Source organism: Homo sapiens, chromosome 8, assembly GCF_000001405.40.
Source record: "Homo sapiens chromosome 8, GRCh38.p14 Primary Assembly".
Lineage (NCBI taxonomy): Eukaryota > Metazoa > Chordata > Mammalia > Primates > Hominidae > Homo > Homo sapiens.
Window position 1 is genome coordinate 16,223,662 of NC_000008.11, and position 19,165 is coordinate 16,242,826.

Consider the following 19,165-nt stretch of genomic DNA (forward strand, 5'->3'; position numbering starts at 1 on the left):
CCAAAGCCAAGAAGCTGGTATGGCTAAATTGCCAAAACAGCAAAGATGGTGGCCCACTCCTCCCTCTAGAAGCTCTGTCCCAGGAAGTTTTAAAATCTCTATTGGCCAGAGAACATCAACAGGCATGGCTGGAAGCCCCAGTCGGGAAGTCCCTCTCTGGGTATTTAATATAAACAAATTATAAACTATGTAGTATTTTTCATCTTTTTCACTTAGCAAAACTAAAAAGAAATTATTCATGTTGAAACAAATATCAGTAATATACTCCTTTTTATTGTTATATAGTGTTCCAGTGTATGAAAATGAGGTAGAAAGCAGAACTCTACTCAGGAGATGGGACTTGACTCCAGAGATGAGGCTTGGACACTGGACGAGATTGAGTACTAGCTTAAACAGGGCCAGGGAAGAAACAGCTTTCCATAAGGTATGCCTACCACTGTGTCATGTCAGTTTACAATTGCCATGGCAACACCTGAAAGGTACTGTCCCTTTCCATGTCAATAACCCAATGACTAGGAAGTTACCATCCTTTTTCTAGAAATCTCTGCATAATCCACCCTTTAATTTGCATATAATTAAAAGTGCATATAAATATGACTGCAGAATTGCCTCTGAGATGCTGCTCTGGGCACATTGCCTACGAAGCAGCCCTACTCTGCAAGGATGAGTACCTCTGCTGATGCTGTATGCTGCTGCTTCAACAAAAGTTGCTGTTTAACAGCACTGACCTGCCCTTTAATTCTTTCCTGGGTGAAGCCAGGAACCCTCTCAAGCTAAGGCCAATGTGGGGGTTTGCCTCTCCTGCATCAAATGCACTACATTTTGCTTATCCATTTACCAGTGATGCGCATTGGGTTGTTTCCTAAACAGACTTTTGTTCTTAAAACTGCATTGAAATTACTCTTACCCTTATTACAAAGTCTAATGGCTAAGTAATCACTTTTTTTTTTTGAGACAGAGTCTCACTCTGTTGCCCAGGCTGGAGTGCAGTGGCATGATCTTGGCTTGCTGCAAGCTCCACCTTCCGGGTTCATGCCATTCTTCTGCCTCAGCCTCCCGAGCAGCTGGGACTACAGGTACCCGCCACCACACCTGGCTAATTTTTTTTGTATTTTTAGTAGAGACAGGATTTCACAGAGTTTCATCGTGTTAGCTAGGATGATCTCAATCTCCTGACCTCATGATCCACTCGCCTCGGCCTCCCAGAGTGCTGGGATTACAGGTGTGAGTCACTGCGCCTGCCCTAATTAATCACTTTTTAATCCAATTCATCTTTTCCCTTTTGACAAAGTTTTAAAATTTTAATGTAATCTCCAGAACATCACATTTTCTTGCTGATTTGCTCGCTTCCCTTTCATTCCTCATTAGCCCAGTGTATTAGTCTGTTTTCATGCTGCTGATAAAAACATACCTAAGACTGGGAAGAAAAAGAGGTTTAATTGGACTTACAGCTCCACATGGCTGGGAAGTCCTCAGAATCATGGCGGGAGGCAAAAGGCACTTCTTACATGGTCGTGGCAAGAGAAAAATGTGGAAGAAGCAAAAGTGGAAACCCCTGATAAACCCATCAGCTCTCATGAGACTTATTCAATATCACAAGAACAGCACAGAAAAGACAGACCCTATTATTCAATTACCTCCCCTGGGTCCTTCCTAGAACACGGTGGAATTCTGGGAGATACAATTCAAGTTGAGATTTGGGTGGGGACAAAGCCAAACCATATCACCCATTCTGTTGGATAGGTCTTCTTTTGGTTTATAGATCAGCGCTGTCCAATAGAAATTTAATTTGAACCATAAATGTAACATGAAATTATTTTTAGTGCTATATTTTATTTAATTCAGTGTATCCAAAATATTACCATTTCAACATATAGTAAATATACATGTTTTTAATGAGATAATGTATTTAATACTATGTTTTTTATACTAAGTTCTTTTAAATCAAGTGGTTTGTTATTTACACTTTTAGCAAATCTCAATTCAGACTAACAAATTACAAGTTCTTAATAGCCACATGTAGCTAATGGCTACCATACTGAAAAACACAGCTTTAGATCCTTGAAAGCCCCAGGGAAAAGCTTTCTAAACATTTTTCTTCCCTAACTATGTGTACTTCCTAGAGATATCACTTGGTCCCATGGCTTTAAAAGCCATCCACATACTGATGACTACCAAAGCCATATAGTTAGCTTTGAATATTTAACTGGACAACTTTACTTTTATGACTAATAGTATCTTTAATATAACATTTTCAAAATATATCATTTCTACTCCTCCTTTCAAAATATTCTTATTCTTTTGCATTTTCCCATCTCAGTAAATATTGTCATTCTTCTCCTGTTGTTATAGTTAAACATTGGAAACATCTTTCCATTTCAGAAAGAAAGAAGAAATATTGATGTTTTAGTAACATGATGACAAATAGCTATCCATATATGGAAAATAGCAAAGTCAAATCCATACCTCACCACTTAAATCAAAACAAATTTTAGATGAATTAAAAATGTAAAGTAAAAAATGCCAACAAAATGCAGTGGAAGGAAATGTCAGCATGTATGCATCAAGGAATACTTTTTTTTGTGAGATGGAGTTTTGTCTTGTCGCCCATGCTTGAGTGCAGTGGCATAATCTGGCTCACTGCAACCTCCACCTCCCAGGTTCAAGCAATTCTCCTGCCTCAGCCTCCCAAGTAGCTGGGATTACAGGTGCCTGCCACCATGCCCAGCTAATTTTTGTATTTTTAGTAGAGACGGGGTTTCCCCATGTTGGCCAGGCTGGTCTCAAACACCTGATCTCAGTTGATCTGCCCGCCCCTGACTCCCAAAACGCTGGGGTTACAGGCATGAGCCACAACACCTTTTTTTCAACAACAAAAAAATACAATCAAGAAACCTCAAAAGAAAAAGAAAAATACTCAATGACATTACTGATAAAAATTTTAGGACCAAAATACACGAAGTCAGGAAATATCTGCTACATGTGTTTAAAATGCATGTTTAAAAAATAAGAAATTTTTAAATGTTCATTTTCTCTTACCAGTTCTGGAAACTACTTACAATACATCTTGCCACATGTTTTAAAACTTTTAAAAACCTGGTCCATATTTGACAGTCGCAAGATATTAAAAACATCTAGATATACATGAGCAACTCAAGTGGTGAAAAAATGATAAAGAGAAAAACTTGGATAAGGAATTGTTATCCAAATATTTTGCTTCCAGTTGTGTTTATTGTTTATGTGCAGTCACATAGTATTACTGGCATATAATATATGCTTATAACTACTTAATAATATGAATTAATTTTTTTAATCTAATACATATCTGACACTGTGGCAACTGATTTAATAGTCATAACAGTTTTGAGATAGGTGCTATTATCACTTTTATTGTATAAACTAGTAAAGTGAGGCAGAGAGAGATTAATAAAGCTTATTCAAGGTCACTCAGCTATTAGGTGGCAGATAGGGGATTCAGGCCCTGTGTGCTCACCTCCAGAGACTGGGTCCTTAAGATCAACGCCAGAGCATCTCTTAGTGATGTTGAATACATGTTTAAATAGATAAATAAATTAACAAATGAATATTAAGACATATGCCTCTCAAAATAATAAGGCTGTGAAATATCCTTTTCATAGATCATGAAAATATTGCTTAAAACAATGATGCAATAGACACATTTTACTTTTGCTAATGAAGTTTCTAATATACACATTTCTAATATACACATTATGAGTAACTTTAGCCTACTGGTATGGCCTGAATTATGTCTCCCCCAAAGTTTATATGTTATAGCCCTAACTCTAATCCCCAATATGACACTATTTGGAGATAGAGACTTTGTGAGGTAATAGGTTTAGATCAGATCAGGGGATGGGGCCCTCATGTTGGGACTGATACCCTTATAAGAAGAGAGATCAGACATCTCTCTTCATCTCTCTCTCTCTGCCATGTGAGAATACAGCGAGAATACAGTTATCTGTAAGCCAGGAAGAAAGTTGTCATTAGAACGTAACCATGCTGGTACCCTGGTCTTGGATTTCTAGCCTCCAAAAACCTTAGGTATAAATTTCTCTTGGGTAAGCTATTGAACCTATAGTAATTTGTTATGTTAGCCTGAGCAGACTACGACACTCATTTTTAAAAATTTATATATCAGTTATGTTTTCTGCAAAATTTGTTGTTGGTTTTTAAGCATGAGTTGCATATTTTAGTTATTAATACTTTGCTTTTTCGTATACATTTTAGAATAAGCTTGCCAATTTTATAAAATGCTTCTGGAACTTTGATTTAGATTTTGTAAAATCTATAGACTTATTTGGGAGAAAAAGCATCTTAACAATATTAAGTGTTCTGCTCCATGAGCATGGTATAGCTCACAAATTATATAGGTGTTTTGAAGTTGCTCTCAGCAATGTTTTACAGTTTTCAGTTGAAAGCTTTGGCACAGCCTTTGTTTAATTTTTCCTTTTTAATTTTTTTAACATTTTCCTTTTTTGTTTTTGATGTACTGCAAAAAGTATTTTTTCACATTAGTTTCACATCGTTCATTGCTAGTATATAGAAATACAATTGATATTTATATATTGACCTTGACTGCTATAACCTTGCTGACATCACATAAAAGTTCTAGTGATTTTTGCATAGATTTCCTAAGTTTTTCTACAAGAAATTATGTATTGTATACATAATCATACTTTTTCTTTCTAACATCCATTTTATCACTTTATTTTTCTACTTACTACACATGATCTATAGTGTGATATTTAATAGAAGTTGTGAGAATGAAAAACCTAGCTTTGCTAACAAACTTAGGAGTAAAGAATTAAGTGTTCCACCATAGGCTTCTTTCTTTTTTGTAATTACCTTTTATAAACAAGGAAATTTTTCCTTTGCATTCCAATTTTGCCTAGAATTCTTATCACAAATCTTTGTTTAGCTTTTGTTCACATTTATTGAAATGAAAATATGGTTTTTCACCTTTAATCTGTTAATCTTGTTAATTATATTGTCTAATTTTGAAATTTAAATCAAGCATGCACTCATAGATAAGTTCCAATGAGTCATGATGTTATTTTTATGTCTAGATTAAATCTGCTAATGTTTTGTTGAGAATTTTTATAATAAGTTTTATGATGACTATTAACCTGTAGTTTAATTTTTTTGTCATGTATTTGTCTGGTTCTGGTATCAGAATAATGTTGACTTCATAGAATGAGATGGCAAGTGTCTTCTCCATTTGTATTTTCAGACATAGTTTGACTTGTATTGGTATATTTCCTCTCTAAATGTTTGGTAGAATTCAACAGTGTGGATACCTGTAACGGATTTACTTTGTGGAAAAGCTTTAACTGCAAATTAAATATTTTTGAGAGAAATAGAGCCTTTCAAGTTTTATGGTTTTAGTGGTATGAATCTTGTTAGTTTGTGTCTTTCATGAAATTTATTAATTGTTTTCTAAGTATTCAACTATATTGGTATGATATTCTCTAATTATTTTTTAAAGCCTTTATAATATTGAATGATGTCTTCTCATTTATATTTTATGTCTCCACTTTTCGTACACATTAGTTTGGCTGGAGTATTGGAACAAGCTTTTAGTTTTATTGATTTCCTCTTGCTATGGTTTGAATGTGTTCTGGAAGGTTTCTGTGTTGGAAACTTAATCCTTAATGCAATCGTGTTGAGAGGTGGGACCTTTAAGAGGTTATTGTCATGAGGATTCCACCCTCATGGGTGGATTAATGTTGTTACTGTGGGAGTGGGTTTGTTATTGCAAGAGTGCGCTTGTTATAAAAGTGAGTTCAGCCCTCTCTTGTTCTCTCTTGCACATGGTATTTTGCCCTTTTGCTTTCCACCATAGGATGACACAGCAAGAAGGCCCCCACCAGGTGTGGCTTTTTGACCTTGGACTTCCCAGCCTCCAGAACTGTAAGAAGGAAATTCTGTTCTTTCTAAATTACCCAGTCTCAGGTACTCTGTTCTAGCAGCACAAAACAAACCTAGGATGGGATATCATGGGATAATACAGCAAGAAGACTGTGCCAGCTTCTGGTCCCTTGATCTTGAACTTTCTAGACTTCAAAACTGTGACCCAGTAAATTTCTGTTCATTTAAATTACCCAGTGTCAGGTATCCCATTACAGCAGCACAAAACAAAGGCACCTCTATTTTTTTTCTGTTTCCAATTTCATTGATTTCTAGTCTTATCTGTATTATTACTTTTTCTACATTTTTTGGAATAAGTTTCCTCTTCCTTTCTAATGTTTAATGCTACGCATTTATCTCTAAGGGCAATTTAGCTGCATTCTTCAAATTTTTTGATGTTTGTGTTATTATTTTTATTAAATTCCATATATTTTCAAATTTTAGACATAATATTCTCTTTGACCTATGGATTATGCAAAGTTATGCTGTTTAATTTGTAAATATTTGGGAATTTTAGTGATATCTTTCATTTCTGTTTTTAAATTCAATTTTATTGTTATTAGAAAACATATTTTTATGATTTCAATACTTTCAAATGTAAAGTTATTGAGAATTCTTTTATGGACCCACGTTTGATATAGGTTCTGTGCAAATTTTTAAAAAACGTGTATTCTGCTGTCATTGGGTGGAAGTGCTTTATAGATGTCAACTAGGTCTAGCTTTTTCATAGTTTGAGTGTTCCTAACAATTTTCTATCTATTTCATTCTGTAATCATTGAAAGGGGATATTGAAATCTCCATCAATATTGGATTTCATTATTTCTCCTTCCAGCTATAACAGGTTTCCTTCATGTGCTTTGTATCTCTCCTTTTAGATCTTTATATATTTATTATTTTTATGTCCTGAATTTATCATATTATTGTGAAAGACCTCTCTTATTCTTGTTAATATTTTGTGAATTTTTTTTTATATTAGCCAGTGTGCATTTGTGTGTGTCCTGATATGGAAAATTGTTTTCTATCCTTAAACTTTTAACCTAATAAGGTTCTTGCACAAGTAATCTTCACTTTGAATGATTCTCGTATGAATGGCTTTCATGTACCATGGTTTAGTTAAATACTACTTCCTCAACAGCATGGTTCAAATTTCAGTTACCATGGTGTATTCAACTGTGAGTAATTTCATAAGGTATAACTTTGATATAAACTCTTTAGTCCACAGTCACTATATTAAATCACAGATGTTCACTTCTTTCAAAGTATTTTGTTGATTGGTCACTGAACATATGTTGTTAATTTCATGTACAGACAGCAACGCATGTAGTTATATTTCCTCCTTGCTGCCCAGTGATAAACCCACACGACATTTTACTAAAATGAATATCGAGAGAGAAAGCTGCCCAAGAAAGATAAAAATGTAGCCAGGAAACAAAAAGTGATAATGCTAGAAGCAAAGTTCAAGCAAAATGCAAATGAAGTTCTAGGAGAAGTAACTTACTATGGGAATATAAAAACTGTCACATTTCAAGAGACTATAGATATGCAGCTAGAGGACCACAGTGAAGTCAAACATAATGAAAAGAATTAAGACATTCGAGAGGAACTGATGCTGACAAAAACTTCACATTAAAGAAACTCTGAGGGATATTTCACAACTTGGAGGCAAAAGCATACACTGTTTAAAGTAGACTTAGAAAAGAGTATGACAAATTGCCAAAACATGATAAAAGCCTTTCTCTACACTATATATTATGCAATGAAAACACTTTCAAATTACTCCTTATTTTTTTTAACAGCAAGTAAAACACTTAAGTCCTCAGTTTCTAATGTTTTAAATTACAGTGTATTAAACTACTATTTTTTTTAATTTTTGTATACAATTATCGTGGAGAGTAAAAGGATTTTTAATGTTTGAACAAAACATTTTAAAGCTAATGGGACAATTGCTATTTTTTTAATGACCAAGTTTACTTATCACATGTTCAACTCCCATGATTATTTTATTGTCCCATACTACCATGCAAAGCAAGGACTGCCTATATTTAAAGTAGGTGAGTCTGGAAGACTGTGAAGTGCTTTTTCATCCAGGTAACAGTCTGTACATACTCTGAAAACATAGCAGTAATTAAGATATAATAATGAAAATCTACATGAAGAAAAAATATCTATAGATTTTCTTCTAAAACAAGACAGAAAAATAGAAAGAAAACTTAAACACATTGCTCTGATTGATTGAACTCTCCAGCAAGATGGTATAATTTTATAAGTTATGATCTGAGATAGCATGATCAAGAAACTAAAAAATACCGCATGATTTTAAAAAATCAAACAAATTATAATTAAATTAAAAGATGTAGATTTGATGATAATCTTAGTGAAAGGCAAGACAAATAGATATTCACATGGGGCAATTCTTAAAAATGATCGTAATTGGAATACTTTGACATAGTGAAGTTGGTTTGCTTAGTCTGTTTTTAAATTGTGAGTTCCCTTTATCCATAGGCTATATCAATATTGACAGTTTCCCATGGTACCACTATAGCATTTGCTCAACATTTTGCAGATGTGTGTACATAGGTTAAAAGACAAAAGTCAGGTTTTAATTCCCTAGCTTCTGAAGTTGCATAGCCCCCAGTCTACCTTGATGTCATACAATTGTCAAGCTCCAATTTCTGCTCAGATATCTGTTTATTACCGACTTTTCCTTCCTTTCTGAGGATTTCTTACATCGTGCCTGTTCCTTTACAAAATCAATTCCCTTGCTCGGTAAACATTTAAAGTGGACTCTAGAATTTCACATCAACTATTTTACATTTATTTTATTTTTATTTCTGGTTTTAAAACCCAAATATTAGTAAAATTGCAACCATATGAATGGATTCTGCCTCCCACCCCATCTTAGGTCTTAGTTCATTCAGGTTGTTATAACAAAATACCTTAGATTGGGTAATTTATGAACAGTGGAAATTTATTGTTCACAGGTCTGGAGGCTGGGAAGATTAAGGTGCCTGAAGATTCAGTGTTTGATGAGAGCTCTCTGCTGCAGAGACAGAGCCTTCTAGCTGTGTCAACATGGGAAAAGGGATAAACAATCTCTTTCAGATCTAAAGGTGCTAATCCCATTCATGAGGACTCTATCCTCATCACCTAACCACCTCCCAAAGCCCCACCTCGTCATACCACCACATTATAGGGTGGGTTTTAACATATGAATTTTGAGGGGATATGCCAACATTGAGACCACAGCACTTCTCTACTCACCCCCAGTTCTGGGAGCCTTAAAGCAATGGGAGCTGAAGAGTTTGACTCAAGGAAAGGAACAAATCGTGAAGGAAAGAAGGTCAGCAGTTTTTCCTAAATTGTCCCTTTTTGCACTTTCTTGATTTGGAAGTTTTATATTGCATTTTTCTTAACCTAGCAGTAACTAGTAATACGTAATACTATATTTTTAAAGAAAATTTTCTATTTTGGGTATCACTACCATATTGTTACACAAGAAAACATATACATATTCTTTAGTTATCTATTTACCATTCCCTTCTTGTAACGTTTGTATAAAATTTGAAGTCATGTCATTTTAATATAAATAATAAAACAAGTAGAATATAGTTTATATGACATTTTACATACTCTATATTTTATACCATCTGATTTATATTTCATATGGTATTATCCCTCACACTTGCTTCTTGCATTTTACTCCTTCCCTCCGGATTTACTTTTCTTATTGCTGAAAGCACATTCTCCAAGTGTTTTGGTAAAACATTTTAGTTTTTCTTAAATTTTCATAGATGCTTTACTCACAATGACTCTTGAACGATAATTTTTATGGAAACATTCGAACATAACTTATATTGTTACTTCATAGAATAAGCTAATCTATTGTATTCTAGAAGATTGTGTCATAGGAATAAGATATCTTTTAATAATTGAGTTTTTTGGTTTTTGTTTTTTTGGTAATCTCACTTGTTCTTGAGAGCTTTTAACAGTCTCTCTTTATTCTTAGTGTTTCGTAGACTATGATATGTCTCAGCGTGACTTTTTTTAATCCTTCTCGTTCCTTAGTGAGTTTCTGCAAGACTCATATCCTTCTGGAAATCTTTAACATTAGCTCTTCAAATACTGTTCTCCATTCCTGAAACTATTCTTAGACGTATATTGGAACTGCTATGTCTATCTTCTGTACAATCTTAATGCTTTCTTTTTTATATTTACCTATCTCCTTAAAAATTATAGAGTAAATAAATATATAACAGTGGTATTTAGTATAATTTTTTATATTTTCTTTTTTATTTTTACAGATGTTTTTATCTTTCTAAAAATGCAAAGCATATTTATTTTAGAGTTATTTAGCATTGTGCTTTCAGAAAAAGTTCATTTTGAATAAATTAACCTTCTTATTTTTGATATTGTGACTTCCTTGCTGTCAGTTTTCCTAATATGATTTGTAACTTTAGCTTGAGAGCATATTTTAACCGAAATGTTAGTCCTCTCTCTTTTTCTACTGATCTCTTCTGTCTAGAAATCTTGTGGTTCCCTCCAAGCCATCAAGAAGTACAGTCTAAACTCAGATCCCCTCCTGGTAGTTACAGAATCCCAATCTCAATGACAATGGATTCATTCACCACCCAGCCAGGGTGGGATTTGACTTTGCTCCTGTTTGAGGTGTTGCCATTGCTCTCCCTTCCACTGTAGCTAAGCATTTCTATGGAGCTGTACTCTGGGCAGTGGTTCCCATGTGTTTTAGATTTCACATAAGTGGAGTTCTTCCTCAGCCTTCAGTTTTATGCAGTAGAGAAGCCTGGCTTGTCTGTCCACTACGTAGGTGAACCTTTGGTCCCCACTACTCCCTATCAAACTCCTCAGCCTGTTCCTGTGCTCAAAATACAGCAAACTTCCATGCTAGATTCCTCTCAGTTTTCATACATAACACACATGTATATGTATTCATGTCTTTGTGTGTTCCTCCAAGTTCTTGCTAAAAAGACACAGAAACAGGGTAAATTACACAAGAAATGTAGTAGGAAAATGCCAGTGAGAAAAAATGGGAAGGGAGCCAGAAGAGGCTGGAAGAGGGATCCAGAGAAGGAGACAGAAAAGGAAGGCTGTATGGGAGCATCTTAGACATTAGTGATGTTGTAAAGAAAGTTCAGCAAAGTCATTGTGGAAAACATCGGGCAAAAGTTGCAGGTCAGAGCTATCCTGCATCTTTCTAGAGCAGCAGCCCTCCGTGTAATTGTCATTAGCTGGGAGCCTGTAGGCTGCGTGAACGCAGGTGAATGTGACTAACAGAGAATTTGGGCCTCAGTCATTCCGCTTCTTGTAGTCACAGATCTGAGAGGGGTGTTTTCACAGCCACTACACTTGCCACTTTTTTTTAGTTGTGTCTTTTTCAAGGAGCACAGACAACACTTTCAATTCAAGATAGCAGACTGATCAATGTTGAAGTCTCCCCTCTGATACCAAATACAAATAAGTGAAAATAGAAGTGGGGGAAAAATCAATGACCATTGTAAGAAAGCTAAGAATTCGAAACATGAAAAACTGAGAGGATACCCTGAGTACTAGAAAAGAGATGGAGCTCGATTCCAGACTGAAATCAGAGCCCAGAAGACATTCTGGAGAGCATTGGTAAACACAGTAGATGCATCATAAATGATTCTCCATCACCAATAGTATGGGGCACAGGAGGGTGTTTGGGGCAAGCTATAGGATGATTGGATATGACAGCAGCAATCTACGTGAGGCAGCAGCAGGAAATTCAGGACCTTAGGCAAGAGAGACCTTAACTCTCCCCTAGATGGCTTCTGTGAAGATGGGATAGATGAGTTAGATAGCAAGAAGATGTTAGGTAACTGATGGAAGAAGAAGGGAGAAGTAATTTACAAGGTCATATATAGATAGCGGAGGCAAATTTTGTTATAAATTTTTTCCTAGGCTCTAACCTATTTGTGAAGTTTTATGTGGGTCTGTCCATATTAATAGGAAATGAATCTATCCTGAAATCTAATCTCCCTTTTATGCTGTATTTTAAAATAGGATCTCAAAACAACCCCTTAAACCTGTGAGCTCTACGGTGTCTCCGTTTCTTCCTTCTTTCCTTCCCCTTTTTATACCCCCCAAATGGTAGTGAATACAGTGTAGATTCTGAATATTTACATGTGTTTCTGAAGTGAATGTAAGACTCCAGATATTTACGTTTGGCTTTATGTGTCATACAACATCATCCCTTAGTACCAGAAAATATTAATAGAAAATACACTTCGCCGGTGCTTAATTAGATGATTTTAGGACCATCTTGAATTGTGTCTACATACACAAGTATAAGTAAGTTTTTGAGAAATTCTAGTTGAATTTTTGGTTAAGGCCATAAGAAAAAAAAAATATTCATTCTAGCAAATGTTTGACTAAAGCCCTAGTTGGTTATTGCATTTTCTTTCTGAATGCATATCACAAAAATAAAAGTTTCTAAGAATTATTATTATTATTATTTTGAGATGGAGTCTCACTCAGGCTAGACTGCAGTGGCACGATCACGGCTCACTGAAAACTCTGCCTCCTGGGTCATTTGGGTTCAAGCGATTCTCCTGCCTCAGCCTCCCAAGTAGCTGGGATTACAGGCATGCACCACCATGCCTGGCTAATTTTTGCATTTTTAGTAAAGATGGGGTTTCACCATGTTGGCCAGGCTGGTATTGAACTCCTGGCCTCAAGTGATCCACTCACCTCGGCCTTCCAAAACGCTAGGATTATAGGCGTGAGCCACCATGCCCAGCCGAGAATTATTCTTATATGCTACTTATATGGCACATCATGTGGGCTTAGGGAAAAATCAACTTGTTGCATAAAAGAATGCATTCAAAATGCTTGAAGACTTTCTTAATAAAGATGGTGTTTTAAAGGTTCACCTAAGTGCACAACAGATTCAATGTTTTATAAAGGGTGTAATTTTTTGAAAAGTGAGCAAGCATGAGAAAACATTGTTTGCAGCACATTAATATCAAAGTTCGAGAATAAAAATACGTACTCTATAAAAATAAGTACCACAAAACACAATTCTGACTACTCATTCTATTTGAGTAATTATGAATGAGTTATGAATGGATTATTCATTCACTAATTGATTTTTTGAATTTTCTTTAAGAACCTATGGTGAGTTAGTTGAATTACTGAGACATTCTGTTGTAGTTCATTCAACAATTGCAATTGCTATATAGTATTCTATTGTATGAATATTAATTTGTCCATTTTACTGTAAATTAACTTCTAGGTTGCTTTTCACATTGGGTTAATTTAAAAGATGTTTCTATGAACATTCTTGCATATGTGTTTTAGTGTGTTCCCACTATTTAAAGATGCATATTAATATTCACATTTTTAAGGTGATTATGAAAGAGTGAATTAATAGATAATAAGGAAGGTATATTTTCAGGTTTATTAGATAATAATCTGTCTTCCAAAATGTTGATACCAATTTATACTCACACTAGCAGGGAAACTATTTTTTTTAGGTACTCGTTCTTTTAGTTCTCTTTGTTTTTTTTTGTTGTTGTTGTTCTCATTCTTTTAGTACTCGTTCTTACTAATTTGGTGTTTCCTGTCTTTTTCATTTTAGTCAATATGTTATGTATGTGGTTTTAATTCACATTTCCCTTATGACTGATAAATTTTAGCGTCATTTTATATGTTTTTTGGCTTTTGGATATCGTAATTTGTAAAATGCTGTTTGAGTTTTCTGTCCATTTTTCTACCGGATTGACACTTTATCTTTTGCATTTATAGGAGATTTTTCTATATTCTGTCTATGAGTCCTTTCTCAAAAATAGATAGTAAATACCTTCTTTTAAGATGGTAGTTGGCTTTTATCTCTCTTAACTCTCTTTAAGTTTATCCCTTTTGAAGAAATCTTTGCTTCTACCAAGGTCTTAAGGGTATTCTTTTATGTTTTCCTCCAAAAGCTTTATTTTTCACTTTAACATTAGATCTACAACATTGCTAGAACCGACTTTTGTGTATTGTATCACAGAGGTTTGATTTGGTCTTTCCTATGTAGATACCTAATTAACCTTGCACCACTTACTAAAAAGACATTCCCATCCCAACAACATTGCAGTGTAAGCTGTGTCAAAAATCAAATGACTCTCTACACATGGGTCTTTCTCCGGGCTCTTGTTCTGTTTTACCAGCCTTTCTGTTGTATTTGTTAAAATGTCATGCTAATCATGATGTTTTCAAAGTATTATTGCTAATATCTCAAGGAACCCATTTATAATAATAATAAATGTAAATGTATATTTCAGGATACTCAATCATTAAATTTTTTTGCAACATCTCATATTCAATTAGGTCATCATTATTGCCTCACGATGTGGCTGATGAAGAGTTCACACTCTTTATCACGTGACAGCTAATTTACTCATTATTCTCTTGTGCTTAATTATCTTCAACATGTGACTTGTCTTGGTAAATTTTTAGAACATTTGGCCATTCAATGTACTTAACTCTAAATAATAGAAACTGTAGATCTGCTTATTTAGAAATGTTACATTACATGTTACTTTTTTTTTTTTTTTTTGGAGACGGAGTTTCACTCTTGTTGCCCAGATTGGAGTAGAATGGCATGATTTCAACTCACTGCAGCCTCCACCTCCCAGGTTCAAGCAATTCTCCTGCCTCAGCCTCCAGAGTAGCTAGGATTACAGGTGCTTGCCACCATGCACGGCTAATTTTGTATTTTTAATAGAGATAGGGTTTCACCATGTTGGCCAGGCTGGTCTCGAACTCCTGACCTCAGGTGATTCCCCCACCTCGGACTCCCACAGTGCTGGGATTACAAGCATGAGCCACCACGCCTGGCCAGTTATGTTAACTTTATATGCTGAAAGGGAAATGATGTCATGGCCAACTCTCTTGCATTAAGAAACTTAGGCTTTCATCTCAAGATAACTCCTGACACAGCATAGGATGTAAGGAGCAATGGAGATGGCCAATTTTGATCTGCATATAAAATATCAATAGAAATTCAAATCTTGTCTGTTTCTAAGATTAGATTTTTAATAAAACAAATACAACTTTGATTTATAGTTATGATGGTGTAACAGGGACTGAATTTACCCTCTTGCCTGAAACAACAATATAACTCGGTAAAATATATGAAAATGATTTTCAGGCCGGGTGTGGTGGCTCACGCCTGTAATCCCAGCACTTTGGGAGGCTGAGGCGGGCAGATCACAAGGTCAGAAGATTGAGATCATCCTGGCTAACACAGTGAAACCCTGTCTCTACTAAAAATACAAAAAATTAGCTGGGTGTGGTGGGGGGCACCTGTAGTTCCAGCTACTTGGGAGGCTGAGGCAGGAGAATGGTATGAACCCGGGAGGCAGAGCTTGTAGTGAGCCAAGATCACACCACTGCACCCCAGCCTAGGTGACAGAGCGAGACTCCGTCTTTAAAAAAAAAAAATTTAAAAAAAATTTTAAAATTAAAAAAAAAAAAGAAAATGCTTTTCAAACATCTGACACAAGGCAGCACAAGACAGTGAGAAGAGAACCTGTAAGATGAGCCCCAGGTTTGCCTCTGCTTATTGTCTTCAGAGAATTTTCAGCCTGAAGTGCAGGGAGAAGCATGGATGGTTAAAGCAGAGACTATTGTGGAACCCGCAAGTAACTCAGCAGATAGTGGGAGAAATTGGGATATGGTGGGGAGGGCAGGCAGTTGTTAATGGTGTGTATTCTTTGTTCTGCTTTCAAATGTTGTGGCTGAGAACTGCTCTTTAACACCAGGTCTTTGACCCACTAATAATCCCCACTTTAAAAATGTCCTGGCTGTTTGTGGTGGCTGATGCCTATAATCCCAACAACTTGGGAGGCCGAGGTGGGTGGATCACTTCGGTGATGGTCAGAAGTTCAAGAACTTCTGAGATCAGAAGTTCAAGAACAGCCTGGCCAACATGGTGAAATCCCATCTCTACTAAAAATACAAAAATTAGCGGGGTGTGGTGGCAGGTGCCTGTAATCCCAGCTACTTGAGAGGCTGAGGCAGGAGAATCACTTGAACCCAGGAGGTGGGGGTTGCAATGAGCTGGGATAACACCACTGCACTTTAGCTTGGGCAACAGAGCAAGACTCCGTCTCAAAAAAAAAAAAAAAAAATCCTTATCCTAGAATTGCACAATCCTGCCCTCAACCTTTTTAATAGTACCCTTCCCTTTTTCATGTGTTCTTCTAAAGTTTTTAAAAGTTTCTTAAAAAAAAATCTAGAGAAACCTCTTAAGAATTTCATAAACATGTTATTTAGACCAAAGTATACTTAAATGTAGTTATTAGACTAGAGTGCCTATTGCCTGTTTGATTGATTCTGCATGAAAACCATTAGTGTGATGGTCTAAATATGAAGAATCAAATAAAAGTAAAGAATATAATATTAATTCATGTTCATAGAAAATGACAATCTTATATAGAATTGTATACGTTACACACATTCCCTTCCCATTATCATTAAGAACAAATAGTCACTGATTGAAAGAACAGATCTGAAAGAACGAAGTGATCTGAGGGGGGAGAAGAATGCTGATTTTCTCCTTCACGCTTTTCTTAAAATGGAAATTTGCAGCATGATTTTCTCTGTTATTTTCTCAACTGACTCAAAATTGGTGTTCAATAATTTTTTTAGCTTTAAGAAAATATAGTGTATGTTAAGAATAAATGAGTAAATCTAAGCAAATCGGTATGTTTCTCCCAATAAATGAGGTCAGACAATCAATCCACATTTCCTGCCTGTAGAATGCTGAATTTCAACTGACTCAAAATCAAGATCAGGGACTATTTTAGGTTATATTAATGTAGAAAAAATGAGAAGGCAAGTCTCACTAAATTCAACAGAAGATACAGAAGCATTTAAAATAACAAGGACTTCTTTTCAATGACAAGTGAGAACAAGTTTTCCAGTAACTGTGATCTTAGTAATTAATTTTTATATTTTTAGTAGAGACAGGGTCTTTCTATGTTGCCCAGGCTGGCCTCAAACTCCTGGTCTTAAGTAAGCCTCCTGCCTCGGTCGATCTTAGTAATTCTGATTGAAAACTTTGGCCGCAGTGGCCTTTACAACACTGGAGGAAGATCCAGCTACTTTCCCGATGTATGGGAGTCCATGTTTTGATGCCTGTCAGCCTATGAAATGGTCAAACAAAATTGAACAAAGAAGTGAGCTGATGGTAAGGGAGTCTGGGTTTCCTGATCACTGGGTTTGTCACTGTGAGACACCTTGGTAAGTAGAGGAGAATCATAATCTTTTTACCTCACTCTATAGCATTTTCTGCCAGTCATCATGCAACCATATCTAAGATGAAAATACTCCTGGGCTGAATCTGCAGTTTCTCCTAATTGATAAGCATTGACTGGAAGAAGAACAGATGGTAGGTACTGGGATTAATACCGGTTGAATTTAAGCATTAAGAGTAGTCAATAAGTTCAGACCTCTTACCTCTCTTTTTGTCTAAATATGTATCGTTGAGGCAAATAATTACACCCATCCCTTCTCCTACATACTAATCAAGTAAACTTTTATTAATTCACCTTCAAGTTTGTTCATTGTATTTGAGATGTATTTGCTGAGGCAGAAGCTGAAATAAAACAAGTCCATCATAAAATATACCCTAGGATCCATCATTCTCTTATGACGATAATATTTTTAAATTTTTTCACATCTAATTTGGTATTCTGAAGCATCCTGTTGGAAAAAAAGTTTTTATTTTAAAGTCTTAACCTCTTAAGGGTTAAGCTTAAAGTCTGAATAAGAATTTGAAACAAAATAGAAACACCCTATTTATAAGCATCAGTTTCCTCATCTTTAAAACAGAAATATTAACAAATTGGTCACACAGCGTTTCCAAAGGAGTTCATTAGACCCTTTCCTATAGAGTGCTTAGCACGGCTCTTGGGTATAATAAGTCCTTACGAAAGTCTGATGTTGGGGGAAAAAGGATCAGGAAAGAAAGCCAGCATTAAAGACTTGTATGGATTCCTATCAGGAAAACTAACTTAATTTCATCCCAGTCTCCATATTATAGACATGTTTTCCAGAACTCTCTCCTTAGAAGAGTTACAAAAACTTCAGGATTATTGTGCCCTGAAGATCCAGAAATGTGCATGACCACATTGTTTTGACAATGGTGGCAAGGAACAATCTGGATGGATGAGTTGCAGAGGGAAACCAAGAGTCAAAGACCTGGGCCCACTAGCAAGGGAAGGAAGGGCTCTTGAAAGAGATCTGGGGCGGGCGTTATGGCTCACGCCTGTAATCCCAGCACTTTGGGAGGCCGAGGCAGGTGGGTCACTTGAGGTGAGGAGTTCGAGACCAGTCTGGCCAACAGGATGAAACCCCGTCTCTACTAAAAATACAAAAAAATTAGCCAGGCGTGGTGGCACATGCCTGTAATCCCAGCTTCTCAGGAGGCTGAGACAGGAGAATCGATTGAACCTGGGAGAAGGAGGTTGCAGCGGGCCGAGATCTTGCCACTGCAATCCAGCCTGGGCAACAGAGCGAGACTTCATCTCAAAAAAAAAAAAAAAAAAAAAAAAAGAGAAAAGAAAGAGATCCAACAGAGACGTACAAGTGAAGCTTATGGAGAAAGCCAGTGGTGTCCCAGACTTTAGGACTATTTCAGGAGAAAAAAAAAGTACTTTGGACCACAGAACTTTTGCAGGTGAGAGTTGAGCTGTGTCACGGAATCCTTCATCTTATACTTACTGAGGGAAGCAGCTTTAATACTCCTAGATCTAATGGACAGGGATATTTAATGCCTTGGTTTTTTCTCTCCCATAAGGCCAGCATACTGGTATGACCTAGTAAAACCTAGGTTGAGTGTCCAGAGAAGCACTGCTGGAATATATTCTGCATTGATTTAGGGATCAATGCTAAGACTCAGGAAAAGAGAGTAAGAAAAATTTTTTAAAGCAATAAATATTTAATATGAATTTACTGAATTGATAAGAATGGATCCTACTATATGGTTAAATAGTATTACAATGAGGCAATGTGGTCCATTAATAAAACATAGGAGGTGGCACTGTTCTCTCACTTGGAGCTAGGGCACAAAAAACTCTTACAATCTAAGTATTTTTTTCTTATTGGCCCAAATGTGAATGGTGATGTGTGTGATGCCCCTGGTCCCTTTTGTACATAACTTGGCTGTGCTCTCTCTGCCAATGTCTGGCTTCCATTACAGTCAAAGTCATTA